The sequence below is a fragment of the Homo sapiens genome, chromosome 7, assembly GCF_000001405.40.
Source record: "Homo sapiens chromosome 7, GRCh38.p14 Primary Assembly".
Taxonomy (NCBI): domain Eukaryota; kingdom Metazoa; phylum Chordata; class Mammalia; order Primates; family Hominidae; genus Homo; species Homo sapiens.
The window spans coordinates 83482865-83510511 of record NC_000007.14 but is presented as its reverse complement, the minus strand read 5'-3'; the positions used below and the strand labels follow the sequence as shown (position 1 = coordinate 83510511).

Sequence of the window (27647 nt, the reverse complement as noted above, 5' to 3'; positions counted from 1 at the left end):
TACACTATATTAGTATATATCTACTGGGATATGCAATATTGTATTACTCCACCTCTTACTGTAAAGATGATGTGTTAAAATCATATAAATGTGTGAAACCTCTAGAAATATGAGAAGCTTACAATACACAATACAGTTAAAATCCTCTTGTGAAAAGATATAGACCAAAAGAAATTGGTAGATATTGCATATTCTCATCAGAGCTGAATTTTTATTCCTGTACAAATTGAAGACAATGCCTTATTATCTATAAAAAGGGTCTATGAGTATTTTCTAATTCCTCTAAAATAAACACTTGCTTAATTAAAAATGGAGTGGATTTGACAGGATTAAATCTCATCAATGATCAATTTGTATTTTTATTAGATGGTTTGATGGCCATTCCAAAAAACAGACAATAATACTCAAGAATGTGAGGATCAACATTTTTACATCCATTATTAATATGTTGATGTAATAGTCAAGCAAGATTTTTTTCTCACTCCCCTTCTTGATCTTGTCTACAATGTCAAGTAGTAGTGGTCAGTTTTATTTTCCTACTATTATTGACTTGGGATTAAGTAATGGCTGGAACATTCTGGCAAGTTTGATGTCTTGGCAATTCTTTGTGACTGATCTACAAGCTTGTGAACCCAGGGACTAAGTAAATACTATGTATGTACCTTATCTAATAGCTGAGCATTAGCAGAAACATTCTACAGCAGAAGTTCTCAATCTTTGTCACATTAGAATTACCTGGGGAAATTTTTTTAAAATTCCAGTGACAGATCAAATAGGCCATACTCTCTTGGCAAGGGTCCCAGGCATCAACATTTTAAGAGCTTCCAGGAGATTCCAATGTGCAACCCAGGTAGAGAATCTAGAAGATACGGAAGCAGAGTCAAAATTGGAAATGAAGAAAATCCCCCACACTGAACACTGAATTTACCATAGATATAAGTTGGTTTTTTTGTTTGTTTTTGTTTTGTTTTGTTTTGTTTTCTGTCATGGGGAAGGGTAAGGTAAATTTTTGACCAAATTACCTAGACTTTTGGGACATACCCTCATATGTCACAGAGTGTGTCTCGTTGCCTCCAGGAAACTGAGACAGAAGTGAACAGTGTAATTGGCTCTGGCCTCCTTATTGCAGCAAAATAGCAAATCTGTGTGCCAGGGCCCTTCAGGGCAACACTATGAAAACTGCATTTGGATCAACCTTCATGTTTTCCCCCTACCCCTAAACACGTAGCCCTCACCTAATATTATCCTCATTTTCTCCCTTGAAAATCATCCCTCTCCTAGGTTTATCTAGTGTTATATTTATGCTAGATCTAGTTCAAGTGTTAAGACAAAGCAAAGTTTTTAGTTAATAAAGGTTTAAGTATAATACATCCCAGGGGTCCCAAAATTTTAATAGAGTCTCTTGAAAGTCAAAAATATAAAAGTTGTAAAACTTTAATGACACGAGTAACTAGGGGAGGATTAAATAATTGGGCTCAAGGGGCCCTTTACATGTTCCCCCTTCAAATTACACCAGGTGTGCAAACTTGCCCATTAGATTAAACCCTACTGAAAACATTAAGCTTCTGTTTATAATGTACTTAACGAATTTGCTATTATCAGATCAAAAAGTATGTTTTTGTCTTTTTGGTGGACATAAGGAGTCTTTTTGGTCATATAGTAGGGTAGTCAATTACATTGGAAATTAATTATTATTTTACCCATGGCAATTTGCCACTGTGCATAAAATTTATCTTTATTTACTAAGAGAAATGTGCTAAATACTTGTCATCCTACAACCTAAATTCCCCATAGATAATTTATAATAAAATATAATTTAAAATGTCAGATGTACTATGCTATGTCATTGAATATTAAAGATATGAAGTATAAATATTGCAAATATAATTGATTTTATAGAAGGAGTTACAACTTCTGCCAGTAATTTTGCCTTTGAAAAATAAAATTATAAGCCAGGCGCAGTGGCTCACGCCTGTAATCCTAGCACTTTGGGAGGCCGAGGTGGGCAGATCACCTGAGGTTGGGAGTTCGAGACCAGCCTGACCAACATGGAGAAACTCTGTCTCTACTAAAAACACAAAATTAGCCGGGTGTGGTGGCGCACGCCTGTAATCCCAGCTACTCGGGAGGCTGAGGCAGGAGAATCACTTGAACCCAGGAGGCAGAGGTTGCAGTGAGTTGAGATCGCACCATTGCACTCCAGCCTGGGCAACAAAAGCAAAACTCCATCTTCAAAAAAAAAAAAAAAGAAAAAGAAAATTATGTCATCAATCAATCATTTAGTTAATATTTTTATATTCAGGAATGTTCACACTAAAAAGATTTTAGCAGTTTGAAGGCATTTAACAATTCAGGTATAATAATATTGTTTTAATCTTTACAAGGAAAATAAGGAGGCTCTCTGAGGGCTGTAATTGACAAGTTTTACAAAAGCAGGCTGAGACTTGATAGTTTTAAATGCCTCAATATCATATCTGTTAATTTATATTATTTTTAGTACTATGAACTATAACTGATATGCTCATTTCTTGATATTATTTGCATCAGTTTTTTGTTTTTTGTGAGACAGGGTTTTGCTTTGTCACCCAGGCTGGAGTGCAGTGGTGTGGCCATGCTCACTGCAGCCTCAACCTTGCAGGTTTAAACTATCCTCCCACCTCAGCCTCCCAAGTAGCCAGGACCACAGGTGCACACCACCATGCCTGGCATTTTTTTTATTTTTTATTTTTTTTGGAGAGATGAGATGAGGTCTCACTATGTTGCCCAAGCTGGTCTGGAACTCCTGGGCTCAAATGATCCTCCCACCTTGGCCTTCTAAAATGCTGGGATTACACGTGTGAGCCACCGCGACCTGGCCTGCATCAGTTTTAATTGTCATGTTTCTTTTCCCTATTGCAAAGTGAAAGAATTATTGTTGAAGTAAAAGTTTTTCCACCACCTGCTTGCCCCTGCTTGCTGCTCTCCCAACATTCAGGTTCTTCATTTGTCTCTGTCTCTTTGTGTCTCTCTGTCTCCATCTCTGTCTGTCTCTCCCTTTCACACACACACACACACACACACACACACACACACACACACACACACACAGAGTTCTGTTTTGAAGTGATAAATCCCAGCAGTCATTCACTGCAAGCACTGTGAAGAATTATATCATCACTTTAATGGGTACCTGCCAGTCAGGGAGGTTAATGCATTTGCTCCCTTCCAGTGGTGGAGGCTCCCTCTTCTTAATCATGGCAGAAAAAGAAAATTGACCTCCTGTTCTCAATTTTACATGGATTTTTTCCTTCCAGATAGGGGTAGTGACCTTGCCAGAGGATCCAACTATTTTAAAGATCATATTTGACTAGATGATGGATGGCCAGTTACCTGGGCACTAGCATCTGTTCTGATAAAGTTGGGGTCTAGGGATAGGGCAGCTACATGGTAATGAATTTTGCTCTTGCCTCCAGCTGGCAGGAATGATATTCTCAGAAATTTAGTTGATTCTCAAAGGAGATGATTGGCAGTCTAAAATAAAATATAGAATGTAAGAACCTGATCTTCAATTTTGTGACACAACTTCAGTTTCATTCTTGAAACTTGCTCTACTAATAAATTGCTCGTCTAGAACTAATTTTATACCTTGAAGTTTACCCAGTGAGTTCTATAATAGACATTTTAACTTATCGTATAAAAGTGTCTTCCAAGTTTTCCATACTTTAAAAAAATTATCATCCATTCTCTTGTTCTCAGTGTGTGTGGAAAGGTGTTCACATTTGCCAACTTACTTGTTTTCTGAGTAATAATGTTTTGGCATAGGAGATTACATTATGATTTATATGGGTTTTGTAAATCTTTCAGTTCTTCTAATTTTAGCATGACCTAAGTTATATTTTCTCATTTTCTTAAAAAGTGTGTGATACAGGTATACAATTATCAATATATTTCTTGCCCCTTATGTTTTTTTAACCATGCTGTGCTATCAAATACTAGATCTTATTTATTCTATTTTTTTTTATCCATTAACCATCCTCACATCCACACCATAAGCCCCCGATTCCCTTTTCCAGCCTCTGGGAACTATCCTTCTGCTATGTCCCTCAGATCAATTATTTTGATTTTTAGATCCCACAAATAAGTGAGATGTGATATTTGACTTCCTGTGCCTGGCTTATTTCATTTAACGTAATGATCTCTAGTTCCATCCATATTGTTGCAAATGACTGGATCTTATTATTTTTTAAGTCTGAATAATACTGTATTGTGTATATGCGCTATACGTTTTCTTTATCCATGCATCTGTTGATGGAAGCTTAGGTTGCTTCCAAAATTAGCTATTGTGAACAGTGCTTGCCACTTATGTTTGAAGCCTATCAAAAATTACAGGAAAACAGATCAATAAGAATAAATTGGTTACTTTTTTTGTACCCAAGGCAATATACTTTTTTTCTGACAGCTTCACAAGAACTGAGCAAATATATATATATATATATATATTTTTTTTTTTTTTTTTTGGAGACGGAGTCTAGCACTGTTGCCCAGGCTGGAGTGCAGTGGTGCCATCTCAGCTCATTGCAAGCTCCGCTTCCCAGGTTCACGCCATTCTCCTGCCTCAGCCTCCCGAGTAGCTGGGACTGCAGGCATGTGGCACCACACCCGGCTAATTTTTTGTATTTTTAATAGAGACGAGGTTTCACCATGTTAGCCAGGATGTTCTCGATCTCCTGACCTTGTGATCTGCCCCCCTTGGCATCCCAAAGTGCTGGGATTACAGGCATGAGCCACTGTGCCCGGCCACAAATATATATAATTGTATCTTCAGCATAAATTCTTATCTTTCCATAATGATAGAACTAATTCTGTAATTCTTATGGTTTCCAAAAATTAACAAATAAAAAATTTCTAGAAAGCATCCTCTGGACAATTTCAGTTTATTCTTTTCCCAACTAGAGATGACAATAGTTTATGAAGTGAGAGAAACCTTGGTGCTCATCCCATCCACTCCTATACTTCCACAAATGGGGAAGTTTAAATTTAAAAAATAGTTTTCCTATAAATGGTATATTCAGTGGTAATTTTGGGAACAAAACAGGTATCTTGATTTCTTTTAATTACCTTTTATTTTTAGGGATATGATCTCCTTTTATTTGTTTGAGGTTAATAGACTTAGATTTTTAAATTAATTTTATTTGCTTCTGATCTTTATATTGTCTGATCCTCTGTGTTAATTTTTATTCATTTATTTGTTTTGATTGGGTTTGTAACATAAGCTGCAATGAGATAGAATTTTGGATGATTGAGGCTGAAAATCAGGTTTTATGAAAAAAGGCTGAAATACAATTTTAAAAATGTATACCCCCAAAGGTTATCTATGACCTTTTATTAAAAGTAAATATTATTTGATATGTGCATAAAATATGGGAAATATCTGTAATGCCTATTACTGAAAACTTATGACTAATCTTAATCCATGAAGAAACCACTATATAATTTATACAACTTCTTTTGTTATTGTAACTTGTAATAAGCAAAATGAATAAGATCCAGAAATGTCAATATTCAAATGATAAGTGACAATAGGAAGTTTTTTAACTTTCTCGGTGAGCTTCTGTTTTTCTAATTTGTAAAATAGAAGCCATATGCACCTACTGGTGGAGTGAAGGGTAAGTGAAATTATGTATATTGGATATTTCACACAGTACCTAACACATAAGAGCCTTTCTGTGAATGTGAGTTGCCCTCCCTTCATAGCTTCCAGAGAAAACATGGGTGGTCTTCTTAGGTACTATTTGCCTCACGACAGGTTATAAACAACAGGGATTTCTGGATAGTAAATCAATACTAACTGATAATTGCCAGAAAAGGAAAACAGAAGAAGAATTTGGTTAGCAGCTTAGTCACTAAGGCAACTTTTTGTGAAAGAAAGTCATCAGTGAACTGTACACACAGCATTGGTTTGTCTTCTGTCTTCATGTTTCTCTTAGCCACATCTAAAGAGAACCCACGTACCCAGGGGGCCTATTACCTAGTAAGAAGCATCCAGCTCACATTGTAGCCACTACAGTAATTGAGGCACGTAATTTAACAGCAAATAAGATTTTGGTGATTGTCTGACAGTTCCAAACCTATGAAGTAATGGTAAATAACACACAGCCTCATCTCTACATCCACATAGCATCTACCAACAGTGTTATTTTCTTTGTTATTATAATGTAGATGAGTAGGTTCAATTTCTATGAAATTAACAGGATATAAAAGATTATAAAGTTGCACTTCATTCTGCCTGGATTTGAAATTCAGTTATTATTCTATCATTTTAGTAATTATGAGAAAAATGTGATATTGATAAAGTATTCAAATTATACAATAGTCATTGCTTTGGTAATATGTCAGTCTGAAAACTACAGATTTTTAAAGGTGCAACCATTTCAGATGTCAGATTGCAAACTCCTGGTGTATCTGGAAACCGTGTGTTTTTAGAATATTTTATAGGATTAAATTTGTGAGTTGAGGGAAGGCCTTATTTTTATAAAGATAAGACTGACGGTCTTTATTAGAGGTCAAGTGGGGAAAATGTAGAGGCTATTTTGCTGTGATCCTGTAACATCACTTCAACCATACATCTGTAGGAAAATTGACAATTCTGTTTCTGTCCTTACAAGTCAGCCACCAAATTAAGTACAGTCTTGTGCCACGTAGCAACATTTAGGTCAGTGGCAGACAACTTATATGAGGGTGGTCTCATAAGATTATAATGCAGTATTTTTATTTTACCTTTTCTGTGTTTAGATATATTCAAATACACAAATACTTATCAAATTACAATTGCTTATAGTTTTCATCACAGTAACATGCTGAACAGGTTTGTAGCCTAGGATACATAGGCCATATATAGCCTAGGTTTGCAGTAGGCTATACCATCTAGGTTGGTGTAAGTACACTCCATGATGTTTGCACAAAAATGAAATTCCTTAATTATGTATTACTCAGAATGTATTCCCATCATTAAATGACAAATGACTGTACTAGAAAACTCCTAGAAATTTAAACTTTAATAGTAATAGTAAGAATAAAATATTTAAATAATTTTTGCCTGCCAGTTTGGCACTTAGAATTCAAATTTCAAGGGTAAACTAGAGATGCTTTGTATAGTTTATTTCAGGCTGAGCTTATAAATTAATAAATAAAGAAAAAAACAAACTTCCTAGGAAATAAAGACAAATTTTCTGTTGCAATCTGAGATGGGAATGGATAAAAAGAAGAAATATAAAATTGACTCAAATTACTATTGGTAGAAAATTGAGGTTTTTCCCTAAAAATACGCAGTAGCTGTTTACACTGATCACAGTAATCATGTAATTGTGAAATTTCCTATTTCATTTTGAGCCTATATTATGAGCCCTGAGAGTAACTATGCCCACTTGACAGAACGTAATTAAGAAAGCCCTATTTCAACAAGGGAAATTTGCATTCACTGCCCTTGACCCATAACTTATTGACATCAAAAAAAAAAAAAAGAGAGAGAAAGAAACTCATATATATTTGCTGTCCATTAGGTACTATGAATCATTTGATTCTTACGGCAGTCCTACCAGTTAGTTATTATTATCCCTATTTCACAATGAGGACAGTGAGACACAGAAAAGTTCATTCATTTAACATATTGTTATCTAGTGCTTACGAAATAAACCATAGGAACTGGTCTAGGTCCTGGGGATATCATAGTGACCAAGATGGAAAGGCTTACAATTTCTTATGGAACATGTTCCTTGTCAGAAGAGAGAAAACATATATAAGAAAAACCAACCAAACAAATTTTAAAAAACACAAAACCTAGTAGCATTCATGCAATACAGGATATGAAAAGATAATGGTGCAACTTAGAATGCCTGGTTGGAATCTTTAGATTTCTTAACACTGGGAAGGCTTATTTATTTCTTAAGACTGGGAGGGCTTATTTCTTAAGACTGGGAAGACAGAGTGAAGATCCAGATGAGAGGAGGAGCCAACAGCATGGAGGTCAGAAGGAGGTGGGTGGCAGACAGAAGGAGAGTCCAGGCCAAACTCTAAAGCCCAAGCCCTAGAGCTCTGTGAGAAAAGGAGAAAGTGGAGCAACACCAGGGCTGAGGTAGGCAACCAAGAGGTAATGACAGACTTTGAGCCAGATTTTAATCTAAAGGAGTTGGGAAACAACGGTAGGAACATCACAGCCCAATTTATATTTTTAAGGAAAGAAATGATCACTCTGGCTACTGTGAGGTGAACTGATTGGTGGTGGTCGAGGGAGGCACGGAGCATAGAAGACAGAATAATAGGAAGAACATTCAGTGGTCCAGATGAGAGGTGGTAGAGGAGATGCTAAGGATAGATAGTGTGGCACTCAAGAAAGAAGAATCAGGACAAATTCTAGGTTTTTGCCAAGAGCCAAAGAACCATTTACTGAGTGGAAGCCTGGGAAAGGAGTTGGTTTGTCTCTGGTAATCAAGACCATATTGTTAATTTGCTAAATTTCAGAAGACTTTTAGACTCTAAGAGAAGATAGCTATTAGGACTTGGCTGCTCAAGTATGGATTTGGGGGTCAAGATAGAAGACAAAAATTTGGGAGTCATATTTGAAAAACTTAAATTATCAAATATTCAATTCAGTATATGAAGAAAAAATGTGATTCCAGTTTTAGTTAATTTGCTTCTTTGTTGTTATAAGATGGATTATTAACTAGAGAAAACATGTTATAGGCCAAAGATCAATAAAGTTTTTGCTAGAGAAAAGTATACAATTTCAACAAAAACATAAAAAGTTATATATGTATTAACAAGTTACATTAGACCTGTCATTAAAATGATCAGACGAAGAAGTAGATAATAGACCAGCCTGGCAATAATACCCTGTTTCTGCTAAAAATACAAAAATTAGCTGGGTGTGGTGGCATCCACCTGTAATCACAGCTACTTGGGAGGCTGAGGCACAAAAATTGCTTGAACCCGGGAGGTGGAGGTTGCAGTAAGCCAAGATCGTGCCACTGCACTCCAGCATGGGTGACAGAGAAAGACTCCATCTCAAAAAGAACAAAAAAAAGTAGATGATAGACCTATTCAACTTCTTAGCATGACTTCAGTTAAAAATACAGATCGTAGAGAATACATTAGTTCTATAACAGGATATTTTTGAGTTGAGATAAAACCGAAATGTATTTATGATTTAAATAATATGTAATTATAACATTACACTTTTGTACACATTAGCTAACTTTGTTCATAAATCAGAAGGCATCTAGCAAAATGCATTTTGTTTTATGGTGGTGCAGATTGAACGAATGAAATAAAAATTGTTAAATATGTATTTTAATGTGAATTAATGATGAAGTAACCAGATATCATCCATTTATTTCAGACCTAATCCTAAGAAAGAATATGATGTAAATGTATAAAATAATAGTATCTTATTAAGTTTTAAATATTGTATAAGAGCTAATTCTCTGTAAAATGGCATAATCCAGAAAAGCTGACTTTTAAAATATTGCTGTAAAATGAATCCTATCTAAACATGCTTAACATTAAAAAATAAGTACCTAAATAAAATCAAAGCTTTGTTACCACAGACAATTTCATAGAATACATGAAAGTATTTTGAAAGGAAGAGGCCGGGCATGGTGGCTCATGCCTGTACTCCCAGGACTTTGGGAGGGCGAGGCAGGTGGATCACTTGAGGTTAGGAGTTCGAGACCAGCCTGACCAACATGGTGAAACCCCATCTCTACCAAATACAAACATCAGCCGGGTATGGTGGCGTATGCCTATAATCCCAGCTACTTGGGAGGCTGAGGCAGGAGAATCGCTTGAACCTGGGAGGCGGAGGTTGCAGTGAGCCGAGATCATGCCATTGCACTCCAGTCTGGGCAACAAGAGCTAAACTTTATCTCAAAAAAAAAAAAAAAAAAAGGAAGAAAGTTAGATAGATGTATAGATGATGATCATACCTATAAAATATGGGCTATTGTACTACTGAAAGCATTTGGTAGGATTCCTAGAAATCTGTTTTCATTCTCTCCCCTCCTTTAAGTAAGTTTTTTTGTTGTTTTGTTTTTTGTTTTTTTGAGACGGAGTCTCGCTCTGTCGCCCAGGCTGCAGTGTAGTGGCCTGATCTCAGCTCACTGCAACCTCCACCTCTCGGGTTCAAGCAATTCTCCTGCCTCAGCCTCCCTAGTAGCTGGGACTGCAGGTGCCTGCCACGATCCCTGGCTAATTTTTGTATTTTTAGTAGAGATGGGGTTTCACTGTATTGGCCAGACTGGTCTTGAACTCCTGACCTTGTGATCCACCCGCCTTGGCCTCCCAAAGTATTGGGATTACAGGTGCGAGCCGCCACGCCCGGCCTCTTTTAAGTAAGTTTTAAGTGGCTAATGTTGCAGAAAAATACCACAGTAGTTCATATATATTCTTGGCTTCCTTAACTTCTGCTTTGACTGAATATCTATAACATCTTATTATAAAATATTCATTAGTCAAAATTCTGGAATTCTCACAAATAAGTGCTCTATTTTGGGTAAAGCCACACATTTCTTATCCCCACATAATTCGCCAGTTGAATAGGAGTGCATAGGACTTTGTTGATGTCCAAATTCAGCCTCTGGAAGACTGAGAATGCCCCTTGCCCACTTCTGATGAGTAACATTGTGTGTGTGTGCATGCGCGTATATGTGCATATGTGTATTTAAAATTATAAGCATTTTATATAAGCTGTTAATTGTTAAATTGGTTAATTACTCCAGATAATCAAGAATTAAGTTTATGAAAGAGGAGGCTGCATGAGATAAAAAGGGAATTAACTCTATTTTTTAAAATAAAACACCTTTAAAATATCTTTCCAACATAAGTGATACACGAATTTCTACATTTAAAGGCCCAGTTTCCTTCATCTCTCAGCCATGACCTTCAAAACTTAAAACTTAACAGTTTAAAAATTCCTTAAATTCAAATATGGGCAAGCAACTTTAATCCAACAGAAAAATAGACAATGAATGTAGTAAGAACAATCACAAAAGTACCCTAAGATATATGAAAGATGCTTAACCTCACCTTATAATAAGAGAAATTCAAACTATATTTTCTCCATCAAATTAGCAAAACACCCTAAACTTTAATTACATATGGTTTATGAGGTTATGGGGATACAGGCACTCTTGCATATAGTCAGGGAATTTTAAAGTGATATAATCCCTATGGAAGCAAAGTTGGCAGTATTTGTTAAAATTACAAATGCTTTTGACCCGGTAATTCCACTTTAAAATTTATCTTACCAATATATTTGCACATCTGTGAATGGACATATATTCATATATATACATTGCAGTGCTGTATTAGTAGTAAAAATTTAAAAGATTTCAAATGCCCACCGCAGGTGATCCATACAACAAAATGTTATTTGCAACTATAACCTCTCTAAGTTTTGATACAGAAATACTTCTAAGATATTTTGAGTGAAGAAAAGAAAGGTAAAGAAAAAGGTTTATATTATGATTCCTTTTGACTGTAAAAAAGTTGAGAATTAATAAAGATTTATACATCTAATTTGTTGCATATGCATAAAAAACTTGAAGGAATGCCCAAGATTTTAGACAGGATTAATCCATTGAGGGCAAAGAAGTAAGAACTAAATAGAGGGAAAGTCCAGATGGAAGGAAGTTTATCTTTATCACTCTAAACCTTTATATCTTTTGGCTTTTGAACCATAAAATTTATTCTCTTATAAAAGGCTGGGCACAGTGGCTCACACCTGTAATCCCACGACTTTGGGAGGCCAAGGTGGGCAGATAATTTGAGGTCAGGAGTTTGAGACCAGCCTGGCCAACATGGTGAGACCCCGTCTCTACTAAAAAATACAAAAATTTGCAGGGCATAGTGGCACATACCTGTAATCCCAGCTACTCAGGGGCCTGAGGCAAGAGAATCGCTTGAACCCAGGAGGTGGAGGCTGCAGTGAGCCGAGATCGCACCACTGCACTCCAGCGGGGGCAACAGAGTGACTCTGTTTCAAAAAAAAAAAAGTGAATGTGCCTGATTTTATTAAGTACACAAGTTTGAAAAAAATTATCTCTAAATTTCATAAATAAAATGGATACTAAAATCGGATTTGTGTTATATTTATAGAATTATATTGATCTTTAGTATTCCTCTGAAACTCCAGATATAATTCCTAACACAGTGGATGTTCAATATACAGCTGATGCTTGAACAACTTGGGAGTTAGGGATGCTAAACCCCAGTGCAGTCTAAAGCTGGAGTATATATAACCTTTGAATCCCCGAAAACATTACTAATAGCCTACTGTTGACCAGAAACCTTACTGATAACATAAACAGTTGAGTAACACATATTTTTATATGTATTATATACTGTATTGTTACAATCAAATAAGCTAAAGAAAAGAAAATGTTAAGAAAACCATAAGAGAAAATATATTTACTATTTATTAAGTAGAAGTAGTTTATCATGAATGTCTTCATCTTAATCATTAAATACATCTTCACTTACATATTTACTTTTCCATATAACATTAAATAATAATTTACATATGATAAGAACACAAGGAATCTGAAAATTATAAATTATATTATTTTCTTTTAACTGGAGAATTAATGTCTAGGCTATTCCTATGTATATCTGAACTCCTGCTTTCTTTGGAAAGTGGTTTATGACTGAGCAACTTTTAGTACAACAATGCCTATTGTACACCTTTGACTTGTGAAAATAATAGAACCTAAAAGTTCAAAGACTGCATGAAAGACAAGCTGATTGTCCATTGCTAAAAAGAGCAATTAGCAAATCAATGAGCTAGTCTGTGTTTATAGTTTTTAAAAAGTTAATTGCTTATTTCTTTACGAATCTGTTTCAACATCATAAGCCACTAGTGATCATCAGTCAAATCTGTCAAAATCATCAAAGCATGTTGTGAGAAACCTTTTCCTTTTGAACCATTACAAAGTTAAAGAAAATTTCTAATGGCTATTTCCATATTTCATTTTCATTAACAATGCTTACTGACTGAAATTCAATTTTTTTTGTTGAATTAACCTTAGGACAATATTGAATAACGTAATTAACTCAGAAAACCATGACAAGTTTAGTTAAAGTCTTGAGTCTTAGGAAGTCTTTACTTGGCAGGTGACGGTGGAACAAGAAATGTGCATTCAAGAAAGAAACACCTCTCCCCTGAAATCTATTTTTGTTTGAGAGCTGAAAAATGTGTGTTCTCCTCTCCTTCATCGTACACAAGGAACTATAGCATTTAAATATATTTTGACAAAGTGTAGAGAACTGTCTTTGTAATATAGTGATGTCAGTGAGTTTTAAAACTGTGTCTCTTGCAGGTTAAAAGGAAAGGCCACGAGAGGAAATGACTAAATCCTCAGAGTATATCTTCATTGACAGCTGATAACTAGCATGCAGCTTAGCAATAATAATTAGTTCCCTCTTTAGAAAATTTCCGGATGAACTCTGAGTTGGTGCATTTCAGTTTCATCTTATTTCTTTGTCCATTCCATCCCCAAGCAATTCATGTTATTTTTAGAGTAGGAGGAACTCAAGATGAGCTTGCTTCATTTAACGGAGTCAGCACTGTCCATTATTTCACTGTGTTTTCTTGAGATTACCTGAGATTAGAGTTTCTTCTGTCCCCATCTTCCTGTATATTTTCTGTTTCTTTCATCCAGGCAGCTTGAAGCAGCATGAAGGGATTTAAAGGAGTCAGCCATTACTTGGTAAATATGCCAAGTCCAGGGACCATGATTTGGAGTTCAGATAATTAATATGACTTAAAGGAGTGACTCTAAAACTAAGAAAGGAAAAATTCTTAAGGAGGGAAGAAAGCCTTGCTTGCCTTTATATTGCCTTCAGTATATGCAAAAAATATTCAATACATTTTGAAACTCCATAGCAAATTAGATAGAAATATTTCAGTTTTCTCAAATATGAGATATGTAAAACTAAAAATGTCATGAATCAATAAGTCAAAGCAAAAAAAATTTGTAATTATTTCGGATAGTTTATAAAATACACAATAAAGGTGATTAAAGTTGAATTGATATTAACCTGAATTTTTCTATTTATCTTGTTGCCATTAAATAATTTTGAATTATCTCAATACAACCTATTAAATATTTTGAAAACCTTCTATCTTATTATTTATATCAGGCTCTGCAAAAAATGCATTCATTTCTGACACATTATAATCCCTTAATAGACTAGACTTTTAATTACTAGGGTATTTTTAAAATAATATTTAGAAATCTCAGTGCATTGTAACAAAGCTCTCCAGTCAACTTCTGTCGTTCAAATTTTGTCACCAACACTGACCAAATAACCTTAGCTCTGTACTGAATCTCTAATAAATTCTCTTTTTGCATACAGAAAATGGGGATAATAGTATTTCTGAGGAGATGTCACAATGATTACATGACATAAAATTGTCTAGCCCTTAGATAGTACATGCCATGTAACTGCTCAATAAATATTTATTAACTGTTATTATCACCTTGAGAGTTAGGGTGGGGAGGACCAGTACCTGGATATAGGAGGAAATTTGGTTGCATAAAAAATGAGACGTCTCGTACATCTTCCCCTTTTACTTATATAATTTCATTTTTGATAAAGTAACACATGTTCACTGGAGAAAATTTGTGTAATATAGAAATTTTACATAGGTCTCTAGAAGAGCCTGAATTCTTATTTTCACTAGTTATTGTAATTTTTAAAAATACCTCTTAAAATGATATTTTATCCTCATTCCTTTGAACATTTAATGAAGTTGAATTCTTTTTATGCAAATTCACTTTTTGCGTCTTTGATGTCCTATTCACAGAACAGTGTTGATATTTTTACTTCTTTAAAATAGTTTTTTTCAACATATTAAAAGAACATATTAAAAACAATTTGTTTCCATACGTGCTATATGTATGTTTTTCCCCATGTTTCCCCTAATAATTATGTTTCTGCTTCTTTCTTAAACTTCAGAATTCCATGATTTATCAAAGTTTACTGCTTTGATCTCATTAATTGTTTTATGTTTATAATGCTCTTTTTACAAATAAAGCATACTGCAATTTCTATGAATTTCTTATGGATGAGATAGATGAAAATCTCATTATAAAATAGATTGGAAATAGAAGCATTCTTCTCTATGCAGATATGAAATTTATTATCCAGTCATGTGAGTCACTTTCACAATCCAGTTATTATCGGGAAAAATGACTTAAGATCAATTAATGAAGACTCAAATTTTCATATTTGGCAGATACTCTCCAACATGCAATATAATTATATAATCATAAACATCTATATATGAATGAACATCTAAACATCATGAACATCTAAACATGATTATATAATCATGAAAAGCTATCGACAGCAGGCCAACTTATTTAGTCTAGCAGAAATACAGATTGTAACAAATTTATGGTATTATAAATTTGTTCATGGATAAAGACAGACTGGCTAAGTTTGCTATGGAATTGAAACATGCTTCATGTTGACTGCTCTGACCCCATACACATTAATTATAGAAACCACCCTTTTTACCATGTGGCTTCCACATTTTAACCGCAGATGGATAATTGTTCACAACACATTCAATCTAGATGAAGCCAGCAATCTATGAATTATGAACACTAGCTGACACAATTTCATTATTTCCCTTGAGAATTTGAATTGGGAAATGCAGGAGCTATTGTCACACTGTGGTGATGTGGGAGCTGGAAATTTATATATAATTGGGAGCTAACAGACATATTTGGCCATGAACAAACTAAATAATAAGCCCTTTAGAATCAGTACAGTGAAGCGGTGGCATTAAGAGAAGCAAGAAGCAAAGATGCAGCATCTTCTAAGAGATAAATTACCTTGGCTTCTGTTTGTTTTCCGATTACCATGAAGCCAGGATTTCTGTCCTCACCTTTACATTACTTTAATTTAATCTCTGTTCATTGCAGTCATTAATATTCCAAATAACATGGCTACCTAAGGCCATAAAGTGACTTTTGGTGGAGTGAATTTTGATGTTAGTTTAGTTGTCTTTTATTAAGGGATGTAGTTATAAGCACAGGTGTAGAACTTTACACCTTAATTCTTAGTGATGTTGAATGTCCACCATAGTATTTTTCGGTATACCTATTAAAACCTTAGAAGAAATTTCTCTTAGTTCTTAATACTAGATAATGCTCCTAAGCAATTGATACAGTTTTTTTTTTCTTGTGTTACAATGACTTCCTCTACTTTGGATTTTGGGAAGGCTGAGGTCAAATTTGGGATTCATTTTAATAATGTAACAGATATTAGCGGATGACTTCCAGTTAAATTTATTACAACCCACTCATCTTAACTGTTTTTCTCTTACCCTTACTCCCTAGAAATATATTTGTTTATTTGATCGGATATATTTGTATAAGTCATCTCAGATCCTTTTTGGAAAGAGGCAAATTAATCAAATAAAGTAGAAAAATTGAGTTAATATTGAATAAATAAGAGTAAATATATAATAAACATTCACATCTTTTCAAAAATAGTTTCTATTTTAGAATGGCTCCATGTCCATTATTGCAGATATATGTCTAAAGCACAAATATTCACCTATAATGGATACTTCTAACCTTTCTTGAATAAAGTCAAGGATGTTACAAAATTGTAACCAGTTAGGAAAAGCAGTCCAGGCCTTAGAGAAAATTAAGGATCAAGATAGGATTTATGCCAGTGAAAGTAGACATGAAAAATATAAACCATGGCATTCATAAACTCTAGTTAGTGCTATGATTTTAAAATAATGTCTACCTACTGACAAGTCTTAATGTCTTAGGAATTCAATTGTTGTCACTGTTTTGTTGAATGGCATTGGTCAGGGTAGAGAGTAGCCGAAGCATTCAATGCATTTTTCTTTTTTTATATTATGAAATGTTTAAAGAAAACTATAGTCTGTTTATTAGGTTTATAAATTTAAAAAATGACCTTAGAAATGTTTCTAAGAAGTATCTTCATAAATAAAATGATATTTCTCAATTTATTACCTATGGTATGTAATGATATTCAGTTTTATGTATCCAGACATATTTTGGCAATAATTTTCTCTGAGGCAATATGAATGAATCAGGAAAAGTAATCTCTGAAATTCCTTATTATATTTTTTTTCACTGACATTATAATCATTTAGAGTCAGAGCAAAAGTTGTAAATGAATTTTCTAGCTACTTCACTTTAGGCAAGCTTAAACATGGGACATGTGATAGTTAGACTTGCTATTCACCACTCCCTCCCTTTGATAAGCTTCCAACAGTATGAAAAACAAAAATAAAAGCTCAGCACTGTACTTTAAAGGACTCCATAAAACATCTAAGTGTCGATTTGCTTCTTTTTTTGCACTGTTTTATCAGCTTCATTTTAAAAATGCAATTTAGTCAAATAATTAAGAATTTTAAAGGTGAAAGGGTGATTAACAGGTGAAGAATCCAGTCTAAAGAGGTTAAGAGGTTGTTCAAGTTTACCTACGCAATTATTGTCAAAGCCAAGACTAAAACCTGGCCTTCCAGATTCTCAGTCTACAAAGACCTTTGGTTATAATATACGCACCTGTTATACTTTAATTCTCATGTTTTTAGAGGTAAATTGAGTGATTTTCATTGTAATAGTGTATGACCATAAGATAGTCATTAAATTTTTGAGCACCCAGGTTTCTCCAGTAAAATAAAATACATTGGTAATTTAAACTGTCACACAGTGGTTGTTTGCTGTTTTGTAAAAGTATATGTGTGTGTGTGTGTGTACATATATATATAAATAAACATAAAGATCATTAAAAATGAAGATTCACTAAATTTGCATTTGTTGTATGCACACTTCCGTTCTTTCCCTCTGCTTTCTCCAAAGTATGTACCCACAGAAACGTGCACATCTTTGTGATTTCATAGGATAGATTTGGCCATAGAGAGGAAGAATAGGTTACAAGAGAAGGTGATACACCAGAATAAAATAAGATTGATGATTCAATAATTAGTTTCTACTATTATTTACAAAGAAATAAGAACTACTATCTTTAGACTATTAGAACTGTAATATACTTAGAAAGTAGGCAAATTGGTAAGTCATAAAAGCAAGTAAAAGTTGGTGTCTATCTTGCCATGTGCGTGCAGGGATAATGAGGTATTAATCACCTCACTGGGTAGCAGGCAAGGTCATCCCTAGATGGATTCACTCATGGAGTACCTCCTTTACTGGATGGGCTGCCTCTTACTAAAATCCCTCATAATTGAATCCTTTCATGACTTTCTCTTATTTCCCAACTTAGTCCCCTAAGCTCTACACCGGAGTGTTTTGGGTAGCTCTGTAGTCTAGGAACCTATTCAAGCTAGTGCGTAACCATCCTTTCATCAGTTGTACACATTCAGATTATTTCACTGTGCATTAAAACTGAGAAATGTTGCAAACTATTGGAATAACTGAGAAAACTTTTCTAAAAATCCACTTGGCAGCCCTGATATAAACGTAAATGCTTATGTATAAAGACAAATTATAATGATAGCAGACAGTTTTGAGCTATATTTTTGTTATGCTAGTGGATCCCAACCTGTGCTTCTCTTGCTGTATGCAAAGGAAAGCAGTATGATTCTACTTTTTATTAAATGGAAAAAAATTGTCTTCCAGGATTCAAGAACCTCTAATTTTTCATACTATTTTCTTTTCCTTCCCAAGTAAGTTTTGAGGGTGGGAAAAGAAGGAATATTAGGGAATAGATTTTCTACCATTGAAATTTTTGCTAATACTCTTCATTCATGCCTATGTCAGAAGTTTCAAGCTATATGTTTTACCTATACATATTTAATTTTAAAATGTCAGAATCTGGCAAACCTCTTATGTGTTATACCTATTATTCCTTTTTTCCCCACCCTCAAAACTTATTCTCAGATTATTTATTTAGGTGAATAGTCAAAAGACTCAATATCTCAAAGCTAACTCAATAAGAGAAAGTTTTACCTTTATAAGGGATACATTGATTTTAGCAGTATTGTTCATTTTAAAAGATTTAAATTTAACTCCACAAAGTTTTGGGCATCAACAGTTTGAGGGTAGAGATATAGATAAGGAATATATTATTAATACAGAGGAACAGATACTTTTAGCAGTATTGTTCATTTTAAACTAAAGATTTAAAGTTAACTCCACAAAGTTTTGGGCATCAACAGTTTGAGGGTAGAGACATAGATAAGGAATATATTATTAATACAGAGGCATATACTTCAGCTCTTCTTTCTCAGAAACAAAAAGTGTAAGAGTGGGCACAGTGCTGTAGATTTGTCCTACTTTATATTATCATTTGTTTAGATTTTAGAGTCCTCGTCACTAAGAATTCACATTCTCTGTTAGATGCATTAGGCATTGATCTTTGTAAAAAAAGTTATCTTCTAACTTGTCAGCATTTGCCAAAGGGCCTCTTCAGGAATTCTTTAGCATCCAGAGTCTAGGCCTGGGGTTTTTATTCTCTCTCATCACCAAAGGCTCTCATATATCGTTTTACCAACCTTAAGTACTAAACTGCCATATGCAATTAAATACGTTCAACAAACAAATGCACACACATGAGAGGTTTGCCAGATTCTGACTTCTTACATGTATATAGGTAAAACATAGCTCAACATTTCTGGCATAGGCACGAATGCAAGAGTATTAGCAAAAATTGCAATGATTGAAAATATATTCCCACCAGTTTTATCAGTGATCCCTACTGTAACTGTTACCACATTAATGCCTCATTGTATTGATGACACTGAGAGTTTGCAGACTGGGAAAATTTGATTTTGGATGTGACTATCAAAACCAATTTCAAGTAGAAACATTATTTTTCTGAGTGGCATTTATCTGGAATTTAATAAACACACTCTGGTGGGTTTAATGTAGATTTGGAACCATTATACATTAGAGGAGCTGTAAAATGACTTTCACCTAGCACTTTATGTTAAAGATTGTGAAGGATGACTATTTTTCTGTGTTTAAAAATATAGAATATTTTTCTTACATATTAAATTGTTGAAGTTTTTAGATTCATAAATTTATGAAATATTTTAACTTGTGCACATTAAAATTCTTTGCCAGTATATGTATGATAAAATGAATGTTAATGACTCAGTTCCAATAGGGATGAAAACAGAGCTATGAGAAAAGGGTGATAAAGGTATTTACATTTTCTCGTGTGCTTAGTGTATGTATCACTTTGCATTTCAGAGCTCTTGAATCTGAACAGAACATCAATATTTCATAGCCCTTTTGGATTTCTTGATCTCCATACAATGCTGCTGGATGAATATCAAGAGAGGCTCTTCGTGGGAGGCAGGGACCTTGTATATTCCCTCAGCTTGGAGAGAATCAGTGACGGCTATAAAGAGGTATAGAAATATCAAACTGCATTTCAGTAGAGATAGAAAAGGGGGGAAATTTCAAGAATGTTACTTGTCTTTTTTTTAATTGTATTGACCACTTTAAAATTTTGAGTGATTACTTTTTAAATAAAATATTAGTTAAAACTGAAATCATTTTGAGGAAATGATTTCTAAATCATGTTGTATGAACTTTTCTAGTACAACACTGATACCTGGATTTCCAGACACTCTTGCCTGGTGCATTTGACATTCCTCTTGCATGGTGGCCCTTGTCACCACACCCAATGTCCTGAGACCTAGGTTTGGAGCATGATGAATCACCACCAGTTCCTCTGGGCTTTATTATTCCAAAGCGCAAGCTTGAAGAAATGTTAAATATGTGGCCTCGATATAACTACCTCATATAGTTCTGTTGGTAATATCACTACTTCAGGTGGATGCTCCTTTAACTTGGTGGGTGGAGTAACTTATACATTTAAAACAAGAAACTACCAACATCTTTTGGAAAAGAGAAAAATAATCTGTAATTATAGTCTATAATTATACAAATAATTGAGCCAAATTTTCTTAGACTCATATAAATCTTACACAAAACATACATAAATATTTAGAACACAATATTTTTGGCATAAGTGCATGTATTATGTAATACACTTTCTTTATAATTGATTTTTATGTTTATGAGCCATGTCCATATTTTCTAAAGTCATTTTTTTTTTAATTATGACAAAGCATCATTCCTTGGTTTCTGCCAGTTCCCTATCCCTAGAGGTAATAATTTTAAACTTCTTGTTGTTTCTTCTGGTTCTTCCCTACATATTTCAAAATAACATTTGCATACTGTTTATTGATATGTTTCATTTTAGGCAATATCTGTTAAGAAATACATCTTTAAGGAAGATGAGAATTTTAGCATCCTTCTTTTGCAATACCACAGTTAAAATATTCTGTGTACCATACTTCATCAGCAACCCTCCAATCACTTGCCCTCCATCTTCCCAAAATAATTATACCAAAACTTTTGGTTAAATACCAGTGTCTTTACCTATTAGGAAGATAGTATTCACCACTGAGCCACATGCTGGAATTTTATCACACTTTTCCCTCCCTTTCTTCTGCCCTTGTTTCCTTCCTTCTTTCCTTTACTTCTACAATTTTCTTGTTCCTCTTGAAATTAAACATTACCCCATTTTTTCCATTTGATAAGATTTTTGTATTAGTTTCACTAATTTTTCGCCAGCCTCTCTACAAAAGTTTTTATACTCCTCTCAATGTAGTACAATTTACCAGTTTTCATCAGTTTACAATGTTTTGGTTTTTAATTGAAGGTATCCTCCATGCTCCACTTGTCTGGCTGGAGCTTAGCTTCACCATCACCTGGAGCATTCTCTCAGCCCCTGACTTATATAGAACTTCAGTTTCTCAGGCCCACCACCTATAGTCTGCCATGTTGCGGAAGCATATCCTCTCCTAGCTTCTGGAAGAAGGATACAGAGTCCAGTGTTGAGTCTTGCATGTTTGAAAATTGTATTATTCCAACTTCACACATTACTGATAGATGGATATAAAATTCTAGGTTGAAACCACTTGCTTCAGAATTTTGAGGATACCGCTCCATTGTTTCCAAACTTCTAGTAGAGCTGCTGAGAAGTCTGATTCTTTCTAATTTCAAAGTTTTGGTTGTAACCTGTCTCTCACCCATGTGTTTGGAATCCCTTCTTTAATTAATCTCTGTGTTTTAAAACCTTCTCCTGTTTCTCTTAGCATCTCTCTTTTTATACCCCTTGCACTGAGACACAGTGGAACTTTCTACCAGGGACCCCATGGCCTTCAGCTCTAGAGAATGCTCATTATTTCTGTTGTATCTTTTCTTCTCTTCATTCTCCTCTTCACTTTCTTCCTGGGACTCCTCTAAGTCAGATTGTTCCCCCTTTATTGTCTGGCATTACTGCTTATTATGCATACTTTGAAACACTTCTGATTTCATCCACACCCACCCCTCTTCTCACTCTCTAGGCTTCTAATTTCCAAGAATTTCTGGAGTCTTTTTTATGAATCAGCTTGCATATTGGCTCCTGTCACCTTGCAAGCAGTTAGATTTCCGCTTTTCCTAGCGTGCAAAGTGCCAACACTTGCCCATATGTTTTAGAGTTTTTAAAATGTTGCTGATATTTCTTTGGCATCTACACTCCAGTTTTACTTATCCTTTTTGGATTATGTCTTTTTAATCCTTTTTCTATCATTTTCATGATTACAGGTTAAAGTAGAAGCAAATATTGCATTTCACCCTATCTTTCCTTTCTTTCTAATGTCTTTATTTTCTATGTAGTTCTCTTTTGACTTCAAACATATGTATACTAATTGCTCTCTTTCACTCTTCCTCTCTCTCCATATATATAAAATACACACACACACACACACACACACACACACACACGACCTCCTGCCAGTCAAATTCAATGGGTTTTTCTCTCACTTCTTGGTTGATCTCTTTCCAGCTTCAATCCTAACTGGCTTTGCCACTATCTCTTTCTTTTTCTTCTCTCTCTTTTTCTTCTCTCTCTCTCTCTCTGATACCATCTACTTACTCTGATTTTCTGTGAAGGAGTATCTAATCTAGGGATCATAAACAAGGCTGTCATAGATTGATCCCCATATTAAAATTGTTAATATGTGAATATTAGAATAACCTATAAAAGATCTGTCATTTCAGAAAATTAACAACCTTTTCATTGAAGAATTAGTTCTCAAATTATCATCCTTGGACCAAAATATTATGTGACTCTTATGGAGTGGTTCCCTGGAATCCACGTTTATAACAAATAGGTGACTCATGTACACAAAATTTAATAACAATTTTCCTGAGCTGTTGTTTCCTATGTGGACCATAAGACCAAGAGATAGCAGCTTCTCATTGTAATGTGATTCCCCTTCAGAGCAGGGGAAATTGAATCACCTACTCACTCTCATGTACTGTTTTGGCCTAATTATACCCTCAGCACTTTAAAACTAGGAAGCTGGGCTTTCAATGAGGAAATGACCTGTGAAAACTATATAAGGGTAGGAGACCCGGAGAGTGATGAGGCTTTATGAACTGCATCTTAGGGAACTAAATAGAGTGATATGTGGCCATTGAGCTTCAGGGTGCCATCTAGCCAGGATGTCAAGGAAAGTAGCTATAAAACCTATTTGAGTACCCCATACTCCAGGGTAAATCCTTATTTTGCTGAGCCCAAAATGTATACAACTTGGGGGAGTGGGAGACTTTTAACTAATATAATTAACACAAACTTTAAAAATTTCAAAATTGCAAAGACTCCTCTCAGGTGCCAGTCTGGGCAGGTACCAGTCTGGGCAGGTGCCAGGAAGGAGTCCTGAGGCTTGTTATGCTTCATTAGCTCTGATGTAACATCAGCCCCACCTGCATTTCTTATTTTGTACTTGTTCTTCCCGTTTCTTCAGAATGATAAGCAATAAATTCTCAATATGCCCTCTGAGGCTGCTTTTAGTAGCAGCGGAGTAGGAGTAAGGTCTACTTTATGACATTCTGCTTAAAAGAGTGAGCTTAAGAAAATGGTCAGTTCTTCGGTGCTCACCAGGCTCTGAAGATGTAATATGTCTGCTTTGGGGCCCAGCTCTCCTCCTGTCTTGTCTGGACTTTACTGTCTCAATTTTTTCCTGATATAACATTTTTTTTAAATCTCTCCCGTTGTGCTTTCTCTATCTCTGAGCTTCTCAAACTTGGTACTGCTGACATCTTGGATAATGCATAGTTAAGGATGGGAGTGCCATGTTCATTGCAGGATGTTTAGCTGCATTCCTGGCTTGTACCTACAAAATGCCAGTAGCACCCTCTCCACAGTCATGATAATCAGGAAAAGTCTCCACACTTAATTTAGCTTACCTATCTATAAACAAGATTCAGACCCTCTAAATGAAGACAAACATATGATACATGCCTGTAGTCCCAGCTACTCTGAAGGCTGAGGCAGGAGGATTGCTTGAGCCCAGGAGTTTAAGATCAGCCTGGGCAGCACAGTGAGACACTCTCTTAAAAAACAGAAAAGACACACACACACACACCATTAACCATGGATCTACCCGGTGATACATCTTTCCTTCAGATCAAACACCTTGAAAATGTAGCCAAAGCCTTTTATTTTTTCACTTTCTCACTTTCTATTTATTTCTTTAGTATCTTTTAAAACATAACATTTCATACAGAAAAGGATATACATAACATACATTCATTAGAACATATAATAAAATAAATACTTCTGAACCCAGCTCCCAACATCTGAATATCACCAATCCCATTGCAGGGGCAGCTACCTTCGTCTTCTCCCTATTTCCCTCCACATGCACCCTGCTGCCCAGGAGCAATTACTACCTACTACCCTTTCTTGTTTTCATTTTTAAAAATTATTTTATTATATATTTTCCCATACAGTATATATTCTGTATATACTGTTTTCCTACACAGTATATTATGTAGTGTCACTACTTTTGGGCTATGTAAAAATCATATACGATGGTGTGTTGCATTCTTCCGGGATTGCCTTTTGTTTTGTTTTCTTTTATTTAATATGATTTCTTATATTTAATTATGTACCTGTACCCATGCCTTATTTGCTGTAGAAGTACCATAGTGAATTGGGAGCACTCAACTGGGATTTTGGTGTTTAAATCCTGGCTATGCATGTATAATATTGGGCAAGTTCCTAAATCCCTTTGTGTCCCTATTTCTTTATTTGTAAAAGGATAAATATTATTCCTCTTTGAAGATAAAAATTAATTATGAATTAATTTATGTAAAGCACCAAGAGCAGTGCTTGGCACATAGCAGTATGTATAAGCTATTATTTACTCTGTATTCTGTGTAATATGTTCCATCATATGAATATAGCACAATTTATTTATCCATTCCATGTCAAAGGACATTTGGGTGGTTTCCAGTATTTCATTTTATCGATGTTGCTATGATCATTTTAGTAAACTTCTTCTGAGACATGCATGTGGAAAAGCATCCAGGGCACATATATTCAGGAGTAGAGTTGCCAGTGATAGAATATGTTAATGTCAAGATAATGCCAAATAGCTTTCCAATGTGGTTATACAGAGTTCCACTTCCATCACTGCATGAATTCCCAATGAACTCACACACTCTCTCACACTTACTCTGTTGTTCTGCTCAATCCCCACATTCCTCAACACTCTTCCCTTGATTCATTTATTTAGCTCTGCACCAATACCTCTCTATCTTAGCAACTATAATATTATTTTTAATTATTCTTAGCTTTATTTGATCATAATTTTAATAACCCTAGAATTATTTCAGAACACATTGAGTATAGAATTAGGAAATACACTGGAAAAATAAAATAATATTATAATGCCAGATATGATACATGTTATAAAGAAAATAAAACAACTTAGTGGAGGTAAGACAGTAGAGGTTGGTGAGGAGAGTAGGGTGGTCAAGAAAATATTTTCTAGGGAGGTGATATTTAAGAAGATAGCAAAATTAAATGCCCACTATCCATTTTTCAAGGCTCAATGACCAGTTTTGACTAGTTACACTGCAGAACTGGTAAAGTAACATCAGAGCATGTACCTCAGGCTGATTTGAAGGACGAGGTCATTGAAACAGATGGACAGGCATTGACTTGCAATTGTGATGGTTGATGAATCATCTATGTGAAGAGAAGGATAGTAAGCTAGGTGAAAACATATTCAATTAATGAGGAGAAAGTAGCAATGGATGATGGTAGATGACAAGGAGGAAGGTAGCAGGTGGTATGATTGTGACCATATGAAGTTTAAAGCAGCTAGGGTTTTATTATTTTAAATCTTTATTGAGTAGGTGAATTTAGAGAGGAAAAAATTAGTGAGAAGGCGAGAGTGGTCAGTGAAAATATTTTCCTCACATGTGGGTTTAGAGTAAAAAAGCCACCACCATATCTGATAGAGAAACAGTGTTCTCAAGGGACAGCCTGATTTTAACCAGAGCAAGAAGGTAAAGGAAAATGGGGAGAGAAAGATTGAAGTTGCAGGGATTTTGTCCATGACATTCCAAAGGATTTCACAGATGGGTTTGAGGTCTTGGAAAGGTGGGGTCAGATTGGGGGTGGTACAGAGCCATGTGATGTATGAGTCCAAGTATTCACTGTTGACCTGGAAGTGGGTCGGGTCAATACTTCCCATGGTGACTATGGTCAACAGCGGTACGTCATGATGGATTAGTCCTGATGATCTCTTCAGGGAAGATAAATAACCTTCAATTTTAACTTCATTTAGAAAATGGGAGCCATTGAACATGTTGATCCTCACCCTCCCATCACCAAATCTATTGTTTCCACATGATGTTTCCCACCTCCTTCCTTGTTATATTGTCAGTACTCCCTCCTTTTATGAAATGTCACTCCTTAAGCCCATGCTCTGGGTCCCAGCTTGTTGACCTTTCTTAAGGGTTATTTTCTGTCTTTTCTACATTATTATTTCTTCTTTTTCTGTCTATAAAAATCAACCACAAATGTAGTTTGTCTAGGGGTGCTTAATTTCCTTGTGAGACATGGATTCATTTGGCAGTCTGGCAAAACCTAGGGATCCTTAAATGCATAAAGTAAATATGTAGAATTACAAAGTAAAATATTAAAGTTATCAAACTATAAATATTTTTAATACAGCTATTATGATATTAAAATGGTAATTTATGATATGATGACACATACCTTATTTATTAACATATTAAGTGATAAAACCTAGCAACAGGTCTCACTCATAATAACCCACATTTCCAATTAATAATGAGTGTTAATGATGTTTTGAGATAATTGCAACAACTCTAAAGTAACATTGAAATATATTTTCTCTTGGTAATGAAACCGCAGATACTACTACTACTACTATAGTTTGCCTTCTACATTTATATATTATCTGATAGAAATGCTAAATTTCAGTTAGAAGTTAATGATTAATGCAATAATGACTTTTTTTTTTTTCTGATTTCTGAGTTGGGACATTCCCTGAATTCTTTTTTCAGGCCCCAGTTAACTCCTGATCCATAATTTTCACTTTAGAAAGCATTCTAAATTTTTTGAGCTGAGCAAATATAGTTCTTCATGACTTACTCTCCTCTACCTTCTTAGCCTAATCTCTACTTGTCCACCAGTAACACATTGCTAGTCAGACCATTTCTCTTTTTCATACCTCTGTATCCTTACAACTCCCCTTCCCTGGAATAACCTTCAAACAT

At 34.9% G+C, this 27647-nt stretch overlaps 1 protein-coding gene across 2 annotated transcripts in view, besides 1 other annotated feature; it reads left to right on the top strand.

Annotated features, from left to right (window-relative positions):
* The window catches only part of SEMA3E (semaphorin 3E), a 285902-nt gene that overhangs the window by 138628 nt on the left and 119627 nt on the right, over window positions 1-27647 (top strand). For both annotated transcript variants that reach the window (NM_012431.3, NM_001178129.2), the window contains exon 2: window positions 20238-20398. In NM_012431.3, coding sequence (NP_036563.1) covers window positions 20238-20398 — 161 coding nt within the window. The remainder of the gene's footprint in view (window positions 1-20237; window positions 20399-27647) is intronic.
* Window positions 13119-13620: an enhancer, noted in NCBI's record as "NANOG hESC enhancer chr7:83126208-83126709 (GRCh37/hg19 assembly coordinates)". NCBI's record gives its function as "activates a minimal SCP1, AML or CMV promoter by ChIP-STARR-seq in primed H9 embryonic stem cells {active_cell/tissue: H9 hESC(primed)}" and the evidence as "EXISTENCE:reporter gene assay evidence [ECO:0000049][PMID:30033119]".